At 32.1% G+C, this 20,442-nt stretch overlaps 1 protein-coding gene across 4 annotated transcripts in view; it reads right to left on the bottom strand.

Annotated features, from left to right (window-relative positions):
* Positions 1–20,442, bottom strand: part of LRP1B (LDL receptor related protein 1B) — a 1,899,594-nt gene that overhangs the window by 107,337 nt on the left and 1,771,815 nt on the right. For 3 of the 4 annotated variants that reach the window (NM_018557.3, XM_017004341.2, XM_017004342.1), the window contains 5 exons: positions 20,062–20,187; positions 19,220–19,357; positions 17,583–17,717; positions 14,194–14,313; positions 12,038–12,279 (listed from right to left, as the gene is read on the bottom strand). In NM_018557.3, the coding sequence (NP_061027.2) occupies positions 12,038–12,279; positions 14,194–14,313; positions 17,583–17,717; positions 19,220–19,357; positions 20,062–20,187 (761 nt within the window). Of the gene's footprint in view, positions 1–12,037; positions 12,280–14,193; positions 14,314–17,582; positions 17,718–19,219; positions 19,358–20,061; positions 20,188–20,442 lie in introns of those variants that run through there. The other variant, XM_047444771.1, reaches the window with a different exon arrangement.

The following is a 20,442-nucleotide window of genomic DNA, read 5'->3' on the forward strand; positions in this document are numbered from 1 at the left end:
TGAAGATTGACATGGGAAAACAGAACAGGAGAGCTAAGCTACTTGCCTTAAAAAATCATGAAGCAAAACAAACAAGCATACCAGATTGGAGAGAAGAAAATATAAAAATTTCACTTGCCCCATTGGCTAGCTCACTAGACAGGCACACCCATGAAATAGAGACACTAATCAAATGTGTCCTGTTTGAGAGACTGCAGAAGCATGCAGCTTCCCTGACAACAAAAGGGCATTTCTCATCTTGTTGCACAGAGTGGAAGACACATTTTGACTGCTTTCTTCAGACAGACGATTTCTTTTCTAACAAGCTCTCTAAATACACAGCCAGTTTTGAGACCTGAGGCATCCTTCTTTGTAGGAATGCATTAGTCAAATGAATGAAACCCTTACATCTTACAAAAAAAGTGACAGCTTGATTGTAACAAAATTAGAGGTTACTAGTTTAAATTACTAATCCTTTATAGGTGTAGATTGTAAGGTATCTGTCACAATTCCAGCTTCAATAAACTGAAGATATAAGTCACTGAAGACATTTGTTTTAAAACAGGAAAAAGGAAAAACATGTGACAGGGGAGTTCAAGCATTTGAGCCATGAAAATACTGCTGTCTGTTTTAACAAATTTCTTACAGTTAGCAATATACTTTAAGAAAATTTAGTTTACACAGGATACATTGAGGTGATATCACATATTTATTTGTGATTTTTTTCATCTTGGTGTACATCTAAGAATAGAAAATTTGAGTTGTTTTATTAAAGTTAGTTATCTCCCAATGGAATTGTATTAAAACAAAGATGTAGAACCACTGTCAAGAAATTGTGTGCGTGTGTGTCTCTGTAGGATATTTTACTAAATGAAAAGACTATTTACATTTTGCTCCTCAAAATATGAATCGGATTCACTTCCAATGAGTGGATGTAAAATAATGACTACACAAATTCTAAATATTACTAAATTCTATTGACTTAGTAATGTTATTAAAATATCCAAATATTTCATATATCAATCAAGGAGCTCATACAGCAGTGGAGAAATCCTAAGTGAACTAAGAAAAAGTTATATTTAGAGCTAGAATGTGTACGCGATTAAAAAAAACTATTGCAGAGATGAAAACTTTGGCTTCTATTTATGATTTATACTGAACAATAGATTATTTCAATCTGAGTAATTTTAAGGCTGCAATGATCTACATTAGGACCATGTCAACTTGGAATAAACTTCTATTAGACGAAAAAGAAACTTCAGACATAATTCTCAGTTGTTGAAAAAGACCAAATTTGTCTTTGAATTAAAGACTCAATAATATATGTGATTTTGTTACTCTTTTTTTTTTAAGCCTCTTCAGTGTTCTTTAACCTTTTATTCCTGATTCACCTCGGTCCTCCATAAAAAGAAAGACTGGCTCTCTAAAGCTTTATTCACACTATCAGAAAAACAAAGATATCACAGATGATTATAAAACACACTGAATTTGGAATCAGAAGAACTGATTTAAATCCTAGTCCTAGTTTCTCTGTATATTATAAGGTGTATAAAATAAAGACTTTGGATTAGATGGTCTTTGAACATGTCTAGCTCCTAAACAGTAAATTGTATAACAGTTTGAAATATTATCCATTCTGGGTAAGTGTGCATTTCATATAGCCTTAAATACATATCTATGGTAATTGCTCATTTTTAGGCATTAGTTAGTGAGTGAATAATTTGTTGGTGCTTGGGGTGCTAATTCCGATATTATTCTCCTTCCTTATTTCCAGGTCATTCACATATGTGAAATAAGGAAATAAGGAAGTAGGATACCTCTGACAATTACAATTTAAACATGCATAACATTCGAGAAATAATTCAGGGTTACCTGAGAGTAAACCTGTCAAAACGATTGGTTGAGGAGTAAATTTAAGTTAAAATTAAAAAAAAAAATAAGTAGATTCTAACTTTTAAAATTAACATGTCACATTACATATCCAAAGTTTTGTTTTTTTTCTTGAAAATTAAGCCTACACGGTTTGGTATATCGAAACCAGGCTAACATTCCAGAATAGAAGAGCCAACTACCTGCTGCACCCTCATTTAATTACATGTGTTCAGTTTGTGTCTATCACCAGTGTTCCCAATGTTTATACCTAACCTATTTCAATCATCTTACCTACATAACTTCTTTATATAATCATTTTGCAACCAAAAGGAATTGAATTTAATAAAGAAATTATGTATCTATCAGAAAGAGGATGAAGACAGTAACAAACACATAGAAAAGTTAAGAGAAGCAAATGACAGTGTGTTTCCAGAATCATTAGGTAAGTTCCTTGTGGATCAACAGGAATTTTAGTCTTTGAAGCAGATGTGCATGTATATATGAATGATCTATATGATATACACAAAATAAATTGTGTTCTTATATCTCAGTGTCTCTCATCCATCAAATTCATTCAGATTATGAATACGTGTGTGTGCACACACGTGCTAGGTAAATATAGGAAATGCTGAGTTTCGTAGATCATTTTCTTGCCAGCTTCATTATAATTTTCTAGCATTTTATTACTCCTTAAACTGACAATAAAATTTCCAAGTCTAAACAGAACCTAGAAAAATAAAGGGGTCACCTTGTAGGCTACTTTCTAGGCATAAAATTAACATTCTTCAGTCTTTCTTTGAGCATGTCCCTTCAAATGACAACAGAGCCTTTGGAAGACCTAAAAACACATTATGTGGGATGAGATCTCTGATGCTTCAACAAGATCAAGACCATTCTCCAGGTGATAATAAGTATAATAATAATATAAGTAGTGTCTTTTTAATAAAAGAGCTTTGGTTAATTAGCAAAATTAAGGAAGACAGAAAAAAATAGCATGTAAATGACTTTGAAGGGAAGATAAAAAGTTGCATTCTTGGTAGCGAAATATGGCCTATGTATGGCTGGAACAAAACGTTGTGTCTGGGGATATATATGTGCTTGTTTATAGCTATGTAAGAAAATGGGAGAGGTGTGATGGGAGATGAGGCTGAAAATGACTAAGAGGCTTGTAAACCAATGGTTTTTTAAAGGATATCCAGCAGAATAATTTACTTAGGGACATACGATGATCAGGTTAATGTTTTAAGAATATTTTGGCTATGGTGTGGAGAATGGCTTGGGTCTGGGGTGGATAGACAAAACCAGAGGAGACTAACTTAATGAACTCCAGGGAGAAGAGAGGGAAAGTTAAATCGAGGTTTTTCTAAGACAAAGGTGGACAAAATATGGAATCTAAAAAACCACGACGAGATCCCATCTCTCACAAGTTAGAATGGCTATTATTAAAACATCAAAAAAATAGCAGATGCTGGTGAGGCTATGTAAGTATTATATAACTATTTATTTGTGAATTCATTTTGCCACATATAATTTATAATTATTCTTTCAACTTTCATAGTACATACAACAACTTCATTCTTTAAGGTTTGGGAGAAAGATACATACTCACATTTCCTGTTAGGCAATATATAACTAGCAAAAAAAAAAAACTTTGAAATTAAACTTTCAAGGAAAACCATGTATTTCTTACTATGGTTATAAAAATATTTACTATTCAGTGAAGGCCAATTATGCATGACATACTATAACCCTTCAGACACAAGAATGATTCATTATTAGGATCTCTATCATAGGGATTTCATAATAGATGTGACTTCTCACAAATTAATCTAGAAATGCAATGCAACATCAATCTAATTCTAATGTGTTTATTCTTATAATATTCCAAAACAATTTTAGAAATAAAAAATGCAAGATTTTCAAATAATTTTTAAATGAATGACTGTGGAGTTCATATATAGAGATATGCTATAATGCTACAGAACATTTTTAAAATATGTTAATGGTGCACAGATCCACAAAGAGATCCAAAGAATAGGATGGGGACTCCATACTCACGTATACGTTTTGAGAGTTTAGTGCCACAGAACAATAGAAATCCCTACTCAATCACCAGAGAAATGAAAGACTAATATTTAGGGTGGAAGTTAAATCTCTACATCAAACCATATACACATAAATGCATTCAGATACATCAGAAACATAAATATTTAAAAGTAAAAGTATTAAAAGAAAGAATAGAAAATGTGTGCATGTGCTGGATAAAAGACTTTCCTAAATATGATGTGATGTCCAGAAACACTGAAGGAAAAGACAGTCAGATCTGACTACATAAGAAGTAAATCTTCTATATAGCAAAAACCATCAGAAACAAAGCAAATTCATTTGAAGGAATTTTTTTTGTGTGTGGGGTGTATATCTTACAAAAGCTCAGTATTTACAGTATATAAATAGTGCATAATAAGATCTTATGGAAAATGAAACATTTTAAGGAAAAAAATAAGCATAGATCAAAATAAGACCCTTGGAAGAAGCAGAATTTTGAATGTTTAATAAAACATGAGAAAATATGTTCAAACTTCACAGTATAGAAAATACACATCAAAAACAATTGGCAAAAGTTTATTAGTATTTTGATGCCGGTTTTGGCAATAGCATTAGGAAAAATTCAAATTCATATATTGCTGATCATTTTTTAAAAGTAGCCTTTATGAAGGCAATCTGAAAGTACTTATTCAAAATTAAGTGCGAATACTCTTTAATCTCGCATTTTCACTTCATAAAATGCCTGGACTATCTAATACAGGCTTTGTTACCCTTATACTTGAAGATGACCGCTAAGACATTATTTGCAATAACAAGACAAAAATCAAACGAATTATGTATCTCAAAATATAAATATTGAAATGAAGGATGTTATATACATACTATGAGTGCAATCATTAAAAAATGGCATAGGTAAAATTAGCTGACACGGTAAGGTCTCAAAACTTGTTTAGTGAACAAAGTAAACAGCAGAAATGACTTTTTATGGTAAGATTCTACTACATATTGAAAAAACCCTAGTGACATACAAGTATGTAGGTTCATAAATAGGTAAATAGCTAATCAAATGATGGTATATCCACGTAACAGCCAAAGAAAGAATGCCTTATTGATATATGCAACAATATGGATGAATCTCACAATCATTGTGCTGGGTGAAAGGGGACAGAGAAAAAAGGGTACTTACTATATACATAAAATTCTAGAAAGAGCAAACTAATCTACAAGGAAGAAAACAAATCAGTAGTTGCCTGGTGATGGGAGAGAAGTGGGCAGGGTCTGGGGGAATAGATTACTGAGGGAATTAGATGACCATATGGAAAGAGTTGGAGGTCATAGACACGTTCATTAGTTTGATTGCGATGATGGTCAGAACTTGTGAAATTGTATATGCTGTGTATATTTGAATATGTAGAGCTTATTTTATGACAATTATAGCTTAAGCTTCTAAAAATGCTCTAGATGTACCAGCATGTAAATTTATACAAAAATATTTGCATGGTACAGAACAAATTGATTGTCTATTAAGGGAACTGTGGACTTTGAGGAAACAGTATAAGGAATCGTTTTCACTTTTTGGCATTCTGACTGCTGGGTTGTGAGTGAAAAGTGCAGCAAGGAGAGAAGTTAGGAGGCTACTGAACCAATTCAAAAGAAAGATGCCTGGCTCAAACCTAGGTGCCTTCAGCAAAGCTAACATAAAGTAGCCAACTCTTGGACATACCTTGAAGGTGTATTCAACAAGACTGCCTGATTTATGAGTTATGACAGAAGGAAAGGAATCAGCAACAACTAATGATTCAGCAAAGCTAATATAAAGTAGCCAACTCTTGGACATACCTTGAAGGTGTATTCAACAAGACTGCCTGATTTATGAGTTATGACAGAAGGAAAGGAATCAGCAACAACTAATGACTCCAAGATGCTTATTTTAAACATGTGAAAAATAGAGTTGTCGTTAAATGAGATTACAAAGGTGGATTTGGGGGATACAATGTGAAGTTTATTTTGGGGCATGCTAGTTTCAAGGTTTTGTTTTAGATACAAAAGAAAAACAAAGTAAGCAGTTGGACAGGGGATGATATCAATTATGTTAGCATGTCGATATATGTTAAACCATGAAACTATGTGAGCTCAACAAGGAAGTAAGGGAAGAGAGTAGAGGACTAAGGGCTGAGCCTGGGGTATTTCATTATTAAGAGGGGTGAAGAACAGGAGCAAGCAAAAGAGACTGAGTAAGTGAGGGGAAAAAAAGAAATGTTAAAACACCAATAAAATAACTACATTGGTGATTCACCTTAGAATCATTTTGTTTTACAGGCTTATTATTACATAATATGACATGATAACTATCTACTGAAAGCTTGGCTGGAGATGCTGACATTGTGGTGAAGGGTTTCTCAATTTCACTGCTGCCAACATTTTGCTCAGGATACTTTGTAGTGTGTTATCCTATCCATTGTAGTGTGTTAAGCAGCATTTCTGGCCCTACCCACTTGATACCAGAAGTACTCTCCCGATTGTAACAATCAAAAATATCTCCAGACATTTCTAAATGAGTAGGAAATCATACCTACTTGTGCTCTCTGATGTCTGCCTCCTCCATATTCCCTAAATTTCTTAAGGTCCTTAATGAATCTCTGCCATGAAATTTGTTGAACACTTCTTTGTCCTCATTCACTTGATTTCTTAGAAGTACACTAAAATTATGACCCTGATCTCTTCCTCAAAATACTCTCCTCTCTCAGTTTTTGTACCTCTATATCTTCTTATTTATTTTCTCTTAATGCACTGTATTTATTTTCTCTTAATGCACTGGCTACTCCTTGTCAGCATTTTAATTTTGCTTGAGAGCTTGATTCCAGTCCTTCTTTTCCTCCTTTCTATTCTTACTGGTAATCTAATCTGGCTTCATAGTTTTATGTATGTCCTCTATTCTGCTATTCTTTAATGTGTATCTCTAGCCCAGAATATGTTTGTGTATGTATGTATATATGTGTGTGTGTATATATATATATAGATATATATATAAAATTCATGTCCTCTCATAACTCATATATGTATATATATACACATATATATACATATATATACACATATATACATATATACACATATATATACATATATATACACATATATACATATATACACATATATATACATATATACATATATATATACACATACACACACACACACACACATATATATATATATATAAAAAAAATAGCATTACTTCTTTCTCATCTCAGCTCAAATCTCCTCTCTTCAAATTGGCCTTTACTCATCTTATCTTGGGATTTGCATTATCTGAATTTTTCTTTCTTAGATTATTTAATTCCTTTAATACATTTTAAACAAACAATTGGAATTTTCTGTATTGATTTCTTTATGAGTTTATTTAACTTTCTCTTTCTTCCCTAGAAAATAAGTGCTATGAAAGCAAGATTCCAGTTCTGTTATTATTATTATTCTATTCTAAAAACTCAGCACCAAAAGTAACAAGTAGGCTTTAAATAAGCCTTTGGGTATGAATGAATACATTTTGGCTGGTTCCCCCTAAAATGCTACACTTTTTGATTAATAATTTCCTCAGCATAATTTATTGTAGACTCATATAATAATTATCATTGGTATATTTTTAATGAGTAAATATTGTGTAATTAAGGAACTAAAAATCCATTATAGCAAAGTGTCAAATTTATACCTCTTTGACTTGTTTAGTAAAATTTTGACTAGATCATAACTGTTAACATTATCACTTACCTGAGTCAATATTATTATTGAGTACCTGTTTTGTGCAATTAACAACAATAAAACCACAAATGGTAATGATGTAATGATCTGATAGCTTTAGATTTTTTCCACAATCATAATAAATGATTGTAGTTGTTGACTGGTTTGAATGAACTCAGATGACTGTCAATTTTTACCAGTACCCAAATGTTCTGAAATAAGACTTTTAAGTGTTTGCCAAGACTTTGAAGTGTTTTTGCACACACACACACGCTTACTTGTAAGTGCATATGCACACCTATGCACTTTGTGTGTGCATGCATGTGTGTGTGTATGTTTGTGATACAGACTCATATATTGGGTATGAGGTTTATAAATAGAACTTCAATTAAAAATTGAGACCTATTAAGAGTAACTTAAATAGATATTTTGCTAAAAGCTTTTTGGGAAAACAAAATGGCCTAATCAACTTTTTAAGAAAAAGATATGATTATTAATCAGTAAAAATCATGTTTATCCTGAACATTCTATTTACAAAAATGAGAATATACCAAAAATGATATCTCATATTTACTTTTCAAAGTCAAGTAGATCAGATAAATCTGAGCATTTGTTTTGCTTAGGAATATTTAGGTTTTTAGTGGTAAAAATTTAATCTGTACTTTTAAAGTTATTTGCATTTTTCCAAACATTAACCTACTTTATAGTGCTTCCCCTCATATACTTTTTTGTATAGCATTTCATACTAAAAATGATAAATTGCCCAAGAGCATGTACAATTGTTGCATAATGCTGTTATATTCTGTTCTGGGTACTAAAATTAACATTCAGAAGTCTCATTTTGCCTTATGTACAGATTAAATCATGTCACTCTTTTAAGTTTTAAATTATTTCTTAAACGAAAAAAAAATCCATTCCTCTTGTATAGCCCAGAGGGTTAGAAAATTATAAAAGTATTTCTAACTAACTATAAACAACTTGATCTGCATTTGAAATTTAAATTTATAATAATTATTAGTATTCTAACCATTTTCATAGATCACAGAAGAGTATTCCCTTCACAATTTCCAAAAAAAAAAAAGAAACGGGATCACATGGAAAATAACCATTTTTTTAGAATGTACTTCATTTAACATTTAGTTGTCTGAATAATATTCTTCTGGTTTTTGATGCAACAGATTTTCTACTCTTTATGGAAATTGAACTATTCCAATATTTTTAGTATCTGCAAGTATGCTTTAAAAACATCCTGCTACCACATGGCTAACTTCTTCCATTTGGTTCACTGACAATGGAGTTACAACTAATGTATTCATAGCTTGATTTGTGTATTTTTCTCTCCCTTGTCTATTGATTCAGAGATAGGTAGAAATCAATGTGCCATAATCAGCCTGGGGAAAAATCTTGAGTTTTATTTTTCAAGGGGTGGGAAAGTCTCCGTCAGTATTATTTAATATTTGTGTCAAAACTTAGAAGATGAATTAGATTGCATGCTCATTAAACTAAGGGATGACTAGCTTGTTACTGTTAGAAGAACACGTGTTTACATGGCACAAGTGTTTACATGGCAGAGTAATTCATAAGATAGAAAATCAATTATTAATACATAAGACAGATTTCAGAGGAATAAACACAAATTGTCCAGATAATAATTAGATAGATATATGACATGTCATACATCTTTTGGAAATCAAATATATTTAAAATATATTATCTCAAAGGGGCTGTAGAAATTGTGTACTTCAATATTACAGTTGTTTTCAGATGAATAAGCTGAGACCCAGAGATGTGATATGCCTTTCAAGTTAGTTGCTCTACAATTCACATTACTCATTAAGGTGGTAATAATAGATTTAGTCTGTCTTTATAATATTGAAATATCAGGAATACAAAAAGATTTAGGAGGCAAAGTTAAATAGTTGCTTTTATCAGTTTATCAGTGTAGCTCTAAAGTATTTTTTAAAATAATGTATTGGCTAGTATTGTTATGAAATTTGGCTTATAGTGCTAAAACTCATGGCTCAGAGGTTCCAAACTTATAATTATGTCATTTAGTTAGTTATGATGGACTCCTTAGTAGAAAATGCACTCCTACTGTTATGCATTTTTCTTCTTTGTGAGTGCTATTTTTCTTCTTTGCGAATGCTAATAATCATGGGAGATTTAAATACAGAGGTGAAAACAAAAGCAAAACACAGGAAGTCTGGATGATATAACACAAGTTATTACTATCATTAAAAGTAAAGTTTTATATCCTATTCAAATAAGTCTAATCAACAGCTTTGCCATTGGATATGAAAGATTCTATAACACATTAATAAAGTTAAAGATAAAATATGTAAAAATATACACATATAAATATTCAAGTAAAATACATAAATATATTTGCATGTATAAGAATGAAAACTTAGTTACCAAACATTGAGTGAATTTGGCTTCTAATCTACAATAAATTTTGTGAATTCTGTTCACTAGAACAGCGGTCCCCAACCTTTCTGGCACCAGGGACCAGTTTCATGGAAGACAATTTACTTATGAATAGAGTGTGTGGGGGATTAGATTCTCATAAGGAGCTCAGCAATCTAGATTCCTCGCATCCACATTTCACAGATTCCTCACATGCACAGTTCACAATAGGGTTTGCGCTCCTATGAAAATCTAATGCCACCACTGCTCTGACAGGGTGCAGAGCTCAGCTCCCTCACTAGCTGTTAACCTCCTGCTGTGCAGCCAGGTTCCTAATGGCCACAGACTGATACCGGTCTGTGGCCTGGGGGTTGGAGACCCCTGAACTAGAACCCTGAACTAAAGGACAATCAATTTCCCCAAAGCACAAAACTAAATAAAAATCAAAGACTTTTCTCTGAAAAATTATGTCAAAATTGAAGATGTGTCTATGTTTATCAATTGTAAAATGCAGATATGTAAATTGCAAATAATTTTTAATATGCTAATATGAAGCAAAGAACATTTTGCCAATTATCATTATTAATGTCATTACCATCATCAACAGAATCATCCTGTTAATAGCATCCATCTAAATAATACTTCCTATGTACCTAGAAAGTTAAACATTAGTATATAAAATACATAGAATTAATGTATATTATTTATTAGTTGTATGTAATTATATACAATTAATTTTAGTATATAGTTAATATACTAATATGTAAATTGAATCATCACTAGAACCTCTTGAAATAGAGAGTACCAAGAAGCTAGGAGGCCAGTAAGCAACAGGAATAAGATTCAAACTCAGCCAAGGTAAGTCCACAGTATATACTCCATTCATTAACAACAGATGCCATGTTACCGTAGAAGCAATGTTTTCAACAAGCAGATTTCTGTTTTAGAGCTAACGAAAGTTAATGTTAGCTATTGTGTTTGAGGGAATAGGAATTGAACAATTCTGGTATACATGGATTTTTACTCAAAGGTTTCATCTAAGTTAATCTAAATCCGAATTTGAAAGCTAAAATAGCTTCTTTTAAAACCAGCATATTGCCATCTACTGCTGATAAAGTATATTCCAGATTTGCATCAAATGGATTTATGTAGTTCAAGTGTTTATGGTAGATGCTAGTAGAAAAAGTAGTGAGAACTTCTAGATAGGAACCTCTAATTTTTGTTAAACACAAAGCTTCAATTACATCCTGCTGGGACACCACTTGACTTTTTGGTTGTACAGGAATGGGCCAGGCCCTATAAAAACACATATTTATCTGTCATTTTCCTTCCAGGTTACTTAAAAATATAAAACACACAATAACTTGACATGCCCTAAAACAAAAAGGGATAATCTAATCTACAACCATAAATTGAAACATGTTCCAGTTTATTTTTTCTCAAAAACAATAACCATGATAATCAACATGTCCAGCATACACAAGTGCACAATATTTCTGTTTTGGATATTTCCTGAAATATAGTTATCAGGAGTCAGAAGAAATGGTTACACTATTGAGTTGATGTCCTGCCCTACAGTAGAAGTATATTTATGATAATGTAAGAAGAGAAATAGTTATCCCTGCATTACGCTACTTTCTAATGTAAAAATAAAGTGATGTTTCCCAATCTCATCTCATGATAAAAAAGCTTATGTTCATAATAATTGTAAAGCACTATGAAATAGATGTTCTGGAGATGTTATATGTCATTCATTAGCATTCTTATATAATAGTCAAATACATTAAAGCAAAAACATAAAAGCATGCAACTAAAATAAATCATGTACAGCTATGAGAATGAGTAGAGAAATGCATTATTTCTATTTAAGGAGAATATTGGGAGAATAATTGAATATATTACTTAGTATAATTAGATATTATATTAGATAAATTTTGTTTAAAAAGCAGGTGGGGAAAAGGTATGGACTTTCAAATATACAATGGTATTTACTTACAATCAAGCCACTGTTTGCTTGCCTTTTTTCTCTGCCATGGATCCTTTTGTAGAAAATTCCGCCTGGATTAAACTGAGTACTCCAAATAATCATATCTCTTTGATAATATACATCCATCCCTGTTATTCTTGAATTATGTTCAATATGAGAAATTTGTTGATGATCGCCACTGTAGTTGAATGGATATATAAAACCCAGGATATCAGTGTCATTAGCAATGTAGAGAACTTGATCTTCAGAGCCTGGAGATTATTATAATAAAATACAAAAATAAAGTAAATTTCAACTAATGTTAAAAGCAATAATTGTACTTTTAAATTATCTTGAATTATTATTCTTAATACAGTTTTTCCTCAAAAATCAACCAGTTTTATATTGTCTTTTAGTCTTTATGGCTTATTATTTCTGATACTCACTTATCTAAACATTTACAATAATTATTGATAGAGGTTTTTCTACTGCCAATCTTTCCTTATGGCTAGAAATTATGTACATATAAATGTCCTTTTATGAAGAGAGATTATTATTTGATAAGTCACAATACACTAGGTTATAATGCATCAATTGTCAATATCCAAGTACTATGTTGTATACTCATTAAGCTTCAAAAGTTTCTGATTACTTAATTTATGCACCTGAGTGATCATTACTTTAGGCTAAGAAATAAAAATTAAAATATGAAGAATCTTCCTCTTACTGTATTTATACATCTTAAATGCTTACTAACTTTTAACATAAAAAGATATCAGTATTTATTCCATTAAAGTTCTATAATCTCTAAATTATCTAGAATCCTGCTAAGTGTAACATTCTATTCTAAAGTTTTGACACCTACAATAGAGTACTAATGTCATTTTCATACTAACAAGTAAAACCCTAAAGCAAATGCCAAAATTATCAATTAAAATATTAACGAAGCCCTAAAGAGATGTTCGATTGCATACATAGTTTCTGCAAATAAATAATAATAATAATACCTCATGAGGTGCCTTTCAGCTCTGTAATGTTAATAGCTGTCACTTAGCAAATGCTTATTATGTGTCAGACGCTATGTTAAGCCTTTCACAGTTTATCTCCACTTCTTATAACTATGGAAACTGAACTGAGGCTCTGACACTTTAGTGAATTCCTTGAGGCCACACAGTCTAAAAGGTGCTGTGCTGGGATTCAAATCCAAGCATATCAAATGCTATAGCCCACAGTTGATCCATTACATCATCCTGTTTTCTTCTTGTAATAACAATCTTAATAATGTCCAATCATACTTTGTAGCCAACAATATTGAAGTTACAGTATTATTTAGCATAAACACATGAATATTAAAATCTATACCTACAATTGCCCAGAACCCTAGTTTATCATTTAATCTTTTTTTGTTTGTTTGTTTTTCTTTTTTTGAGATGGAGTCTTGCTCTGTCACCCAGGCTGGAGTTCAGTGGCGCAATCCTGGCTCACTGCAACCTCTGCCTCCTGGGTTGAAGCGATTCTCCTGCATCAGCCTCCCAAGTAGCTGGGACTACAGGTGTGTACCACCACGCCTGGCTAATTTTTGTAGTTTTAGTAGAGACGGGGTTTCACCATGTTGGTCAGGTTGTTCTTGAACTCCTGATCTCGTGATCCACTCGCCTTGGCCTCCCAAGGTGCTGGGATTACAGGCATGAGCCACTGCACCAGGCCTATCATTTAATCTTTTTAAAAAATAATATTGGTAAGTGGAGGACTTCTAAATTTGAAAGCAAGATCTTGTTTTAAAACCTTTAAAATCCTTACTCAAAATTCCTTTCTCCTTATAATGCTAATGTTTATTTTTATCCCTGGGGTATAATTTTTCTCATATTCCCTTAGAGCAGACCATCAAGAGAGATACTTCACATTCTATCACACTGGCTTTTAAAATTTTACCCCTTTTGAAAAATTGTTTTGAACACAATGACACAATGTGATTTTAACAGTAACCATATATTTCATAGTCATTTCCATAAACCATCTAAGATTAAATTCATTAATATTAACTAACCAACTGGCCAAATTAATCATCATTAAAAGTATTTTATCAGAAATGAAGCTGTTGCTGGAATGAAATATAAAACATTTTTCTCCATAAAATGTTTACAACAAAATTGTAATAGGATTTGCAATAGTGGTTATAATCTTACCTTCTGCTATGCAGGTGTTATTTCTTTCTTGAAAATTCTGGTCACACACACATTTATATGATCCTTCCACATTTATACATTGATGGGAACATGTGCCAAACACCAAACATTCATTAAGGTCTAGAAAAGAAGAGCTCAAAATAGCATCATCATACCCTCAATTCAGACTCCTATTCTTACCACGTTTCAAAAAAGCCAAAATTATTTTTAACTTATTACTAGCTTTATTGTCCTTTCACATCTTTAATCTGTGACCTGCTGTGTCATATTTTTGAAGGTATAATCATTTTTCACAATATTTGTAGTAGAAGATTTATCAATTGTCATTGCTTTTATTAATCCACTTAAAATATTAAAGCTTCAATTTCAAACTTCCCTGGGGCTTTCTTTTTTCTTTCTTAAAATTTTTACTTATTTATTTTTTTACCTTTTAAGTTCATGGATACAAGTGCAGGTTTGCTACCTAGATAAACTTGTGCCATGGGGGTTTGTTGTATAGATTTCCATTCACGCAAATAGACCTGTCTTGAGGTTTTCTTTTAAGCTGTTTCTGATGACCTACCTCCATGCCTTCGAAGGTATCATGGGCTATTCTTTCATCCCGTAATGCCCTTGCCCACTTTTCCATACAGAATTTCTACTCATCTTTCAAGATCCACCTGAAATAAAGCCTTCCTTGGTCTCCAACCATATATGGGAGTGATGATTCATCCTTAGTTTCTCCAGTTTTTGCTCTCCTGGTGTTTCTCTCTTACACTGTTGCTTATATTTCAGGAATGTGGTTACATATTCATATTCCCTTGAGGACATAAATTATGATACATTCCTTTTTTATTGCCAGATTTTGCACAATGACTGGCAGAGAACAAAGATTTGGGCACATCTCTAACACACTTCTGGACTCATATATATGAAGTGACTACGTAACAAGAAGGGCTGTATTGAGGTTATGTGATGTGAATTAAGCAAGCAAAATCTGCATGCCTATATATGAATAAATACCTCTAAATCACTAGCATAAATAAATAAATCACAGGCAGTATTCATGTGATTTAATCAGAGTCATGTAGCTTGGCACATGACTCTAATTTTAAGGGCTTATGAAGAGCCAGGATTGAGGCCAGGTGATTCTAGGGAATTATCTAATTTTCCTCTCTTTTCCTCCTCTACTTTTGTGTTTAGCCAGCATATTTCCCCTGCCTCATTTTATCACTTATAATCTCCTAATTACCTAATAAATCTGTGAGATAAATCCTTCCCTTGAATTAGAGAACTTAAGAATCAGCACAGTAAGAATAACTATCTTTTGCGTAGCACACAAACAATGTTCTAAGGGCTCAGAGGTAGAGACACTTGTAAATCACAACGTCAAGGCTTAAACTCAGGTTTTCTGATTTTGTTGACTTTACTGTGATACTTTGCCTAAGAACACATAAGCATTTTCATGACCACACATTGCTATTTGATTGAAATGTAGAGTAAAGAGATGCAGAAAAGTGTATTTCGTTGTTTTTAATAAATATTTTACAGGAATGAAGTAGAATGCATCTTGTCAGTACTTAACCATCACGATTACAACAAATATTTCTGATTTGTTCAGCCCCTGTAACTTTGAACCGGCAGTTATTTGTCACTATGGTTTCCCTTTGGTACAGAATCCAAATAAGCAGTATTCTGCATGATTTCATACAACCTCAACTTCCTCACTTGTCATTATACTGGCCTGAACCATCATTTTCGCCTCATCTCTAGAAAGCCTGGATCATGAGCTTTTGAAGGGGATGGAGGAATTCCACACATGCCTAGTACCCAAAACAGTACCTGGCACTCAGCAACTGTTAATCCCCTTCTAATTTTCTTCCACCATTCCTCTTTACTTTTTTCCCTTTAGATATTCTAATTGAAGTGTTTGGGCTTTAACATCAAATAGCAATTTCTTATGCATTTTTTCAGATACATAAGTGAAGGGCACAAACAAATTTAAATTTTTGGATTATAGAATCCAATTATGTCTTACCCTTCTTTGACACTGAAATAGAACTATTTTCCTTAAAATCAAAACTTTATTTATTAAAAATAGATGAACATTTTATTAGAGTTCAGAAGTTACTCGTCTGTCCTACAAAATAATACAAAAAAGTGGATTCATAGCAATTTAAAATAAAGAATGTAGTGTGCAGGTTATATTTGCTGTGGAATGTAATTAAAAATTAAGAAAACTTTAATAATATAATTTCTAAATTTAGTACATATATACAGAAAAAACCCACTGACAAATATTAGAAAATAAATGTTATTGAAATTAAAATATTGAAAGAATTGTGTGTGTGTGTGTTTATATGTAATTGATAGAAAGAGCCTGGGAAAAATAAATACCATAGTTTGAAAGATAATTCATTTTTTAACTAAAACACAGAAAACCTAGGTTGTCATCTTTCAGTCTCATAGTAATGGAACAATCAAATGTCACGAATAATCCAAATACACATTTAACTCAAAATGTAGATAAACATGACGTGACTACACTTTTTCCCCTTTTGGGTGAGTAGAATCAATTCATTTAAATAATTCCATTTTGATTAACACGAAGTAGAATCATTTTTCTTAACCTCAAAATATCACAAAGAGACATAACAAAAGCAAGCTGGTAGGTAAAAGCACTTAAAGACTTGAATTTAGCCTGGATAAGCCAGACTTAGTTATTTTAGGTTTGGCTGTACTTACATTAATATGAATATGAATACAAATAGCAGTTTTATTGGAGAAACTTGCAGAAAGTGCATATGGGTCTGTATTTCATGGTTCTATAGTTAGAACACTGATGTAATTATATTTACTTACTTACTATAAGATTTTGGCTATCCTACATGCTCAATTTTTAAATGATCTCAAGTAAGTTGACAGATTTATGTAGATCCTGACTTTGAATTTTTAAAGATACATTATGATCTATTTAAAACATGGTTTTAGGACAAAAGCCCATGACTCTCTAAATGTGATTTACCTATTCCAGTATTGCAAATTCCACACTCAAGAGAAATGGGTCATCATAAACATATTTTTTCATGAAGCAAGACTAATTCTCCAATAGTTCCTGAACCAGGAATTTCGTTATTTGCATTTCAAAACAGTATTGTAGCAATAGAATTGAAATTCCTGCAGCTCTGAATTTGCTATAGAAAAAGCTTTGTAGCCTCTGTCGTGGTTAGCTTAGCTCCACAAACAAGCTCTTGACCCCAGAGACTTTCATTCTCATAAGTGAAATGGTATCCCGTAGATACACACCATTTTGATGAAAGTCAATCCCCTGTGATCTCACAATTTAGAAGTCTTGGGAATCTTCATAACCCAAAGATTTATGAGCAAACTGTTGAAGAAAAGTACTCTACCTTCACATTGTCTGTTTTTCATGTTTCTCTGAAATCCAGGCTTACAGCGACAGAAAACAGATGTTTTTATTTGATTACAATATGCATCATCTCCACATGGATTCACATTATCTTCACAGGTATATTCAGTAGGAGCTGGGATTTAAAAATATGATCAAAACTAATATAATTCTAATTCCTGAAGTGGGGAGTTAACTTTTAAAAAATGTTTGAAATGGTATTTATTATTCCACAGATAACTCTTTTTGAATGTACAAGGTTACGGTCTTCTCTCCATATAAGCCCCCATGTCTTATAAATGTATAGAAGTATAAAAACTAAACTCATTAACATTAAATACAGATTAGACCAAGCTGCTAACAGTTGATATTTAGAGCTGCTGTTAAGCTGTAACACTTTTTAAAAATAAGTCAGGAGTCAATGATTCTAATGACAGGCTATCTTTATTATAGTACGATATATGAGTACTACATCCTTCTCTGAGAGCCAAAGCATTTCCTATAAGCTACCTAGAAATTTAGGCATTTATTGCTAACCTAAGCTTAATATTTGTAAACTCAATCAAGGGTACTGCTAAGTTACTCAAGCAAGTTGTCTAAATCAGCAGTTTAAATTTCATTTTTTTATGCTGGACATACATATGAAGAGTAACATTTGAGTGTGTAATGTGCTCATAATGGTTGGTCATAAGCTGCAACATTTTAGGACAGACAAAAAGTTACTTGTAATTTCCAGGATAGCAGTTGCAATTTTATTACTTTATCTCCCATTCAGGAAAACATTTTAGAAGGCCTTCTCTTTTAAATAAATGAGAGGGACATTATTATAGAGACATCATATCATCTCTAAGTTACTTAAATCAAATTTTTGAGAAATGTGAGAACTTTAATTATTATCGTTGTAACCCCACTGACTTGAATATTTTGCAATTAGTTAAAATAGGTCAGTGGAATGATACCATGGTTTAGACACATGCAGCCATATCCTGGTGGGTATTGCTTCATCCCTAAATGAGGAAAGTTTTAGATGCATAAATTAAAAAAAAAAGATGTAAAAGTAGGAAATATTGTGTGACTTTTGTAAGCAAACTGAATTTAGGATCATACATTTAATTATTTTTCTTTAATATAAAAAATCAAATACCAAGCATTAGACACAAACTATTCGCAATCAGCAGGTAATAACTCAAGTATCATGGCACTGTAACTAAAAAAAAAAATCACATCTTCTGTAAGAATGACTCAGCAATGGATTAAATTTTTTTTAACATTGAAAAAATTAAGACCTTTACTATCATTCAACTAAATATCACCGTTTATAAAACTTAACACTAAATTTGTATAAGATAAATTACTAAATGATATAGATTACATTGCTGACATCAACTTCGATATTTGAATATTGATTTCTCAGCTTCTGCTTTAACAAGGGTACTCATTACAAAGCCAACCTTGTCCACTTCATACTTTCTGAAATTAAGTAATATTCTAATGTTGCTTTGGCAAAGGTTTTTGAAAAAGGGCATCAGTCAAGCATACTTTGAAGAGCAATATTTCCATCCAGAACATTTTAGTCATGTACAAGCAGAAGTTAGACTTGTGTATCCCGGTGCTTTGCTTAACAGAAAACAAGCTCACCTATTCTGCATCCTTGCTCATCTGAACCATCTCCGCAGTCATCAAGTCGATCACACTGGAGATCCATAGGGATGCATTTTTTATTACTACAAGCAAACTCATCCTTTTTACAAGGCCTTGCTTTATATGTCAGCTTACCTATAGAGTCATACAAAAAATGATTAGTGCTTCACAGAATCAAAACACTCTTATTGAGCATGTAATAGCTCCAAAATTTTACTAACTACTATGAAAAACATGGGTTTACAATCCTTTATCTGAAGCTCTCAAGGCCAAATTTTTAAACATTCTGAAATTTTTGGATTTTAGAAAAGTAACTGTGTGTTTACTTTAAGTAAATAACACTGATATCTACAGAAAAATTTTAAAATATTTACCCTAAGTGTAATTTTTTTAGAGGGTGATATTAAATGGCTCCAATTAGGTCAGGTCAAGCTTTGTCTCCAGATGATTTTGCTGCATACATAAGTCTTTTGCATTAAAAACTTTTTGAACTTCGGAATTCAGAAAAAAGAATTGCATAGACATACAATCTATATAAGCTCCCTTTCTTCAAAAAATTAAGTCTTTAAACAAGGAGCATTTAAAAATCTCTATATTGTTTCTCCGGGATGAATATTTTCTAGAATAAAGGGTTAGTGGGAACTATGGATAAAGGTGCACACCTATAAGGCAAATGAAATGCTGGTGGAATATTTTTATACCTTGTCAGAAGATCAAATGTCTGAAAATAATGCCCTCAGATGTCCACATAAGAAATGTATTTTTTAAAATGTTTGTACTCCAAGTCATCAGAGAACCTCATAGCCATCACTGAATTATTTCACATTAAATGCATTTACCACCACAGTGATCTTCATCTGAATTGTCACCGCATTCATCAATCCCATTGCACATTTGCTCCGACTGTAGGCATATTCTGTTATTTCTGCATCTGTGAGGTCTCGTGGATGGACAAAGAAATTTGACTGAAGAAAAAGAAGAAAAAACAAAGAAGCTCCTTCGAGTACATTGCTTTATGAAGAACATTCTTCCTTTTTCTTTTATTCTTTTCAAATCCATAAGCTAGCTTTTCTAAATATCTTTTTTGTTGTGACAATTGCCTACTAGTGGCTACCAGAAAAATATGTGATGATTCTAGTTATTAACTACAGAAAAATGTGCACAGCTGAGGATCTTAAAGGAAATACGAAAGAGCCAAACTGTATGGTCTCATTCCCAGA

The sequence above is a fragment of the Homo sapiens genome, chromosome 2, assembly GCF_000001405.40.
Source record: "Homo sapiens chromosome 2, GRCh38.p14 Primary Assembly".
NCBI lineage: Eukaryota > Metazoa > Chordata > Mammalia > Primates > Hominidae > Homo > Homo sapiens.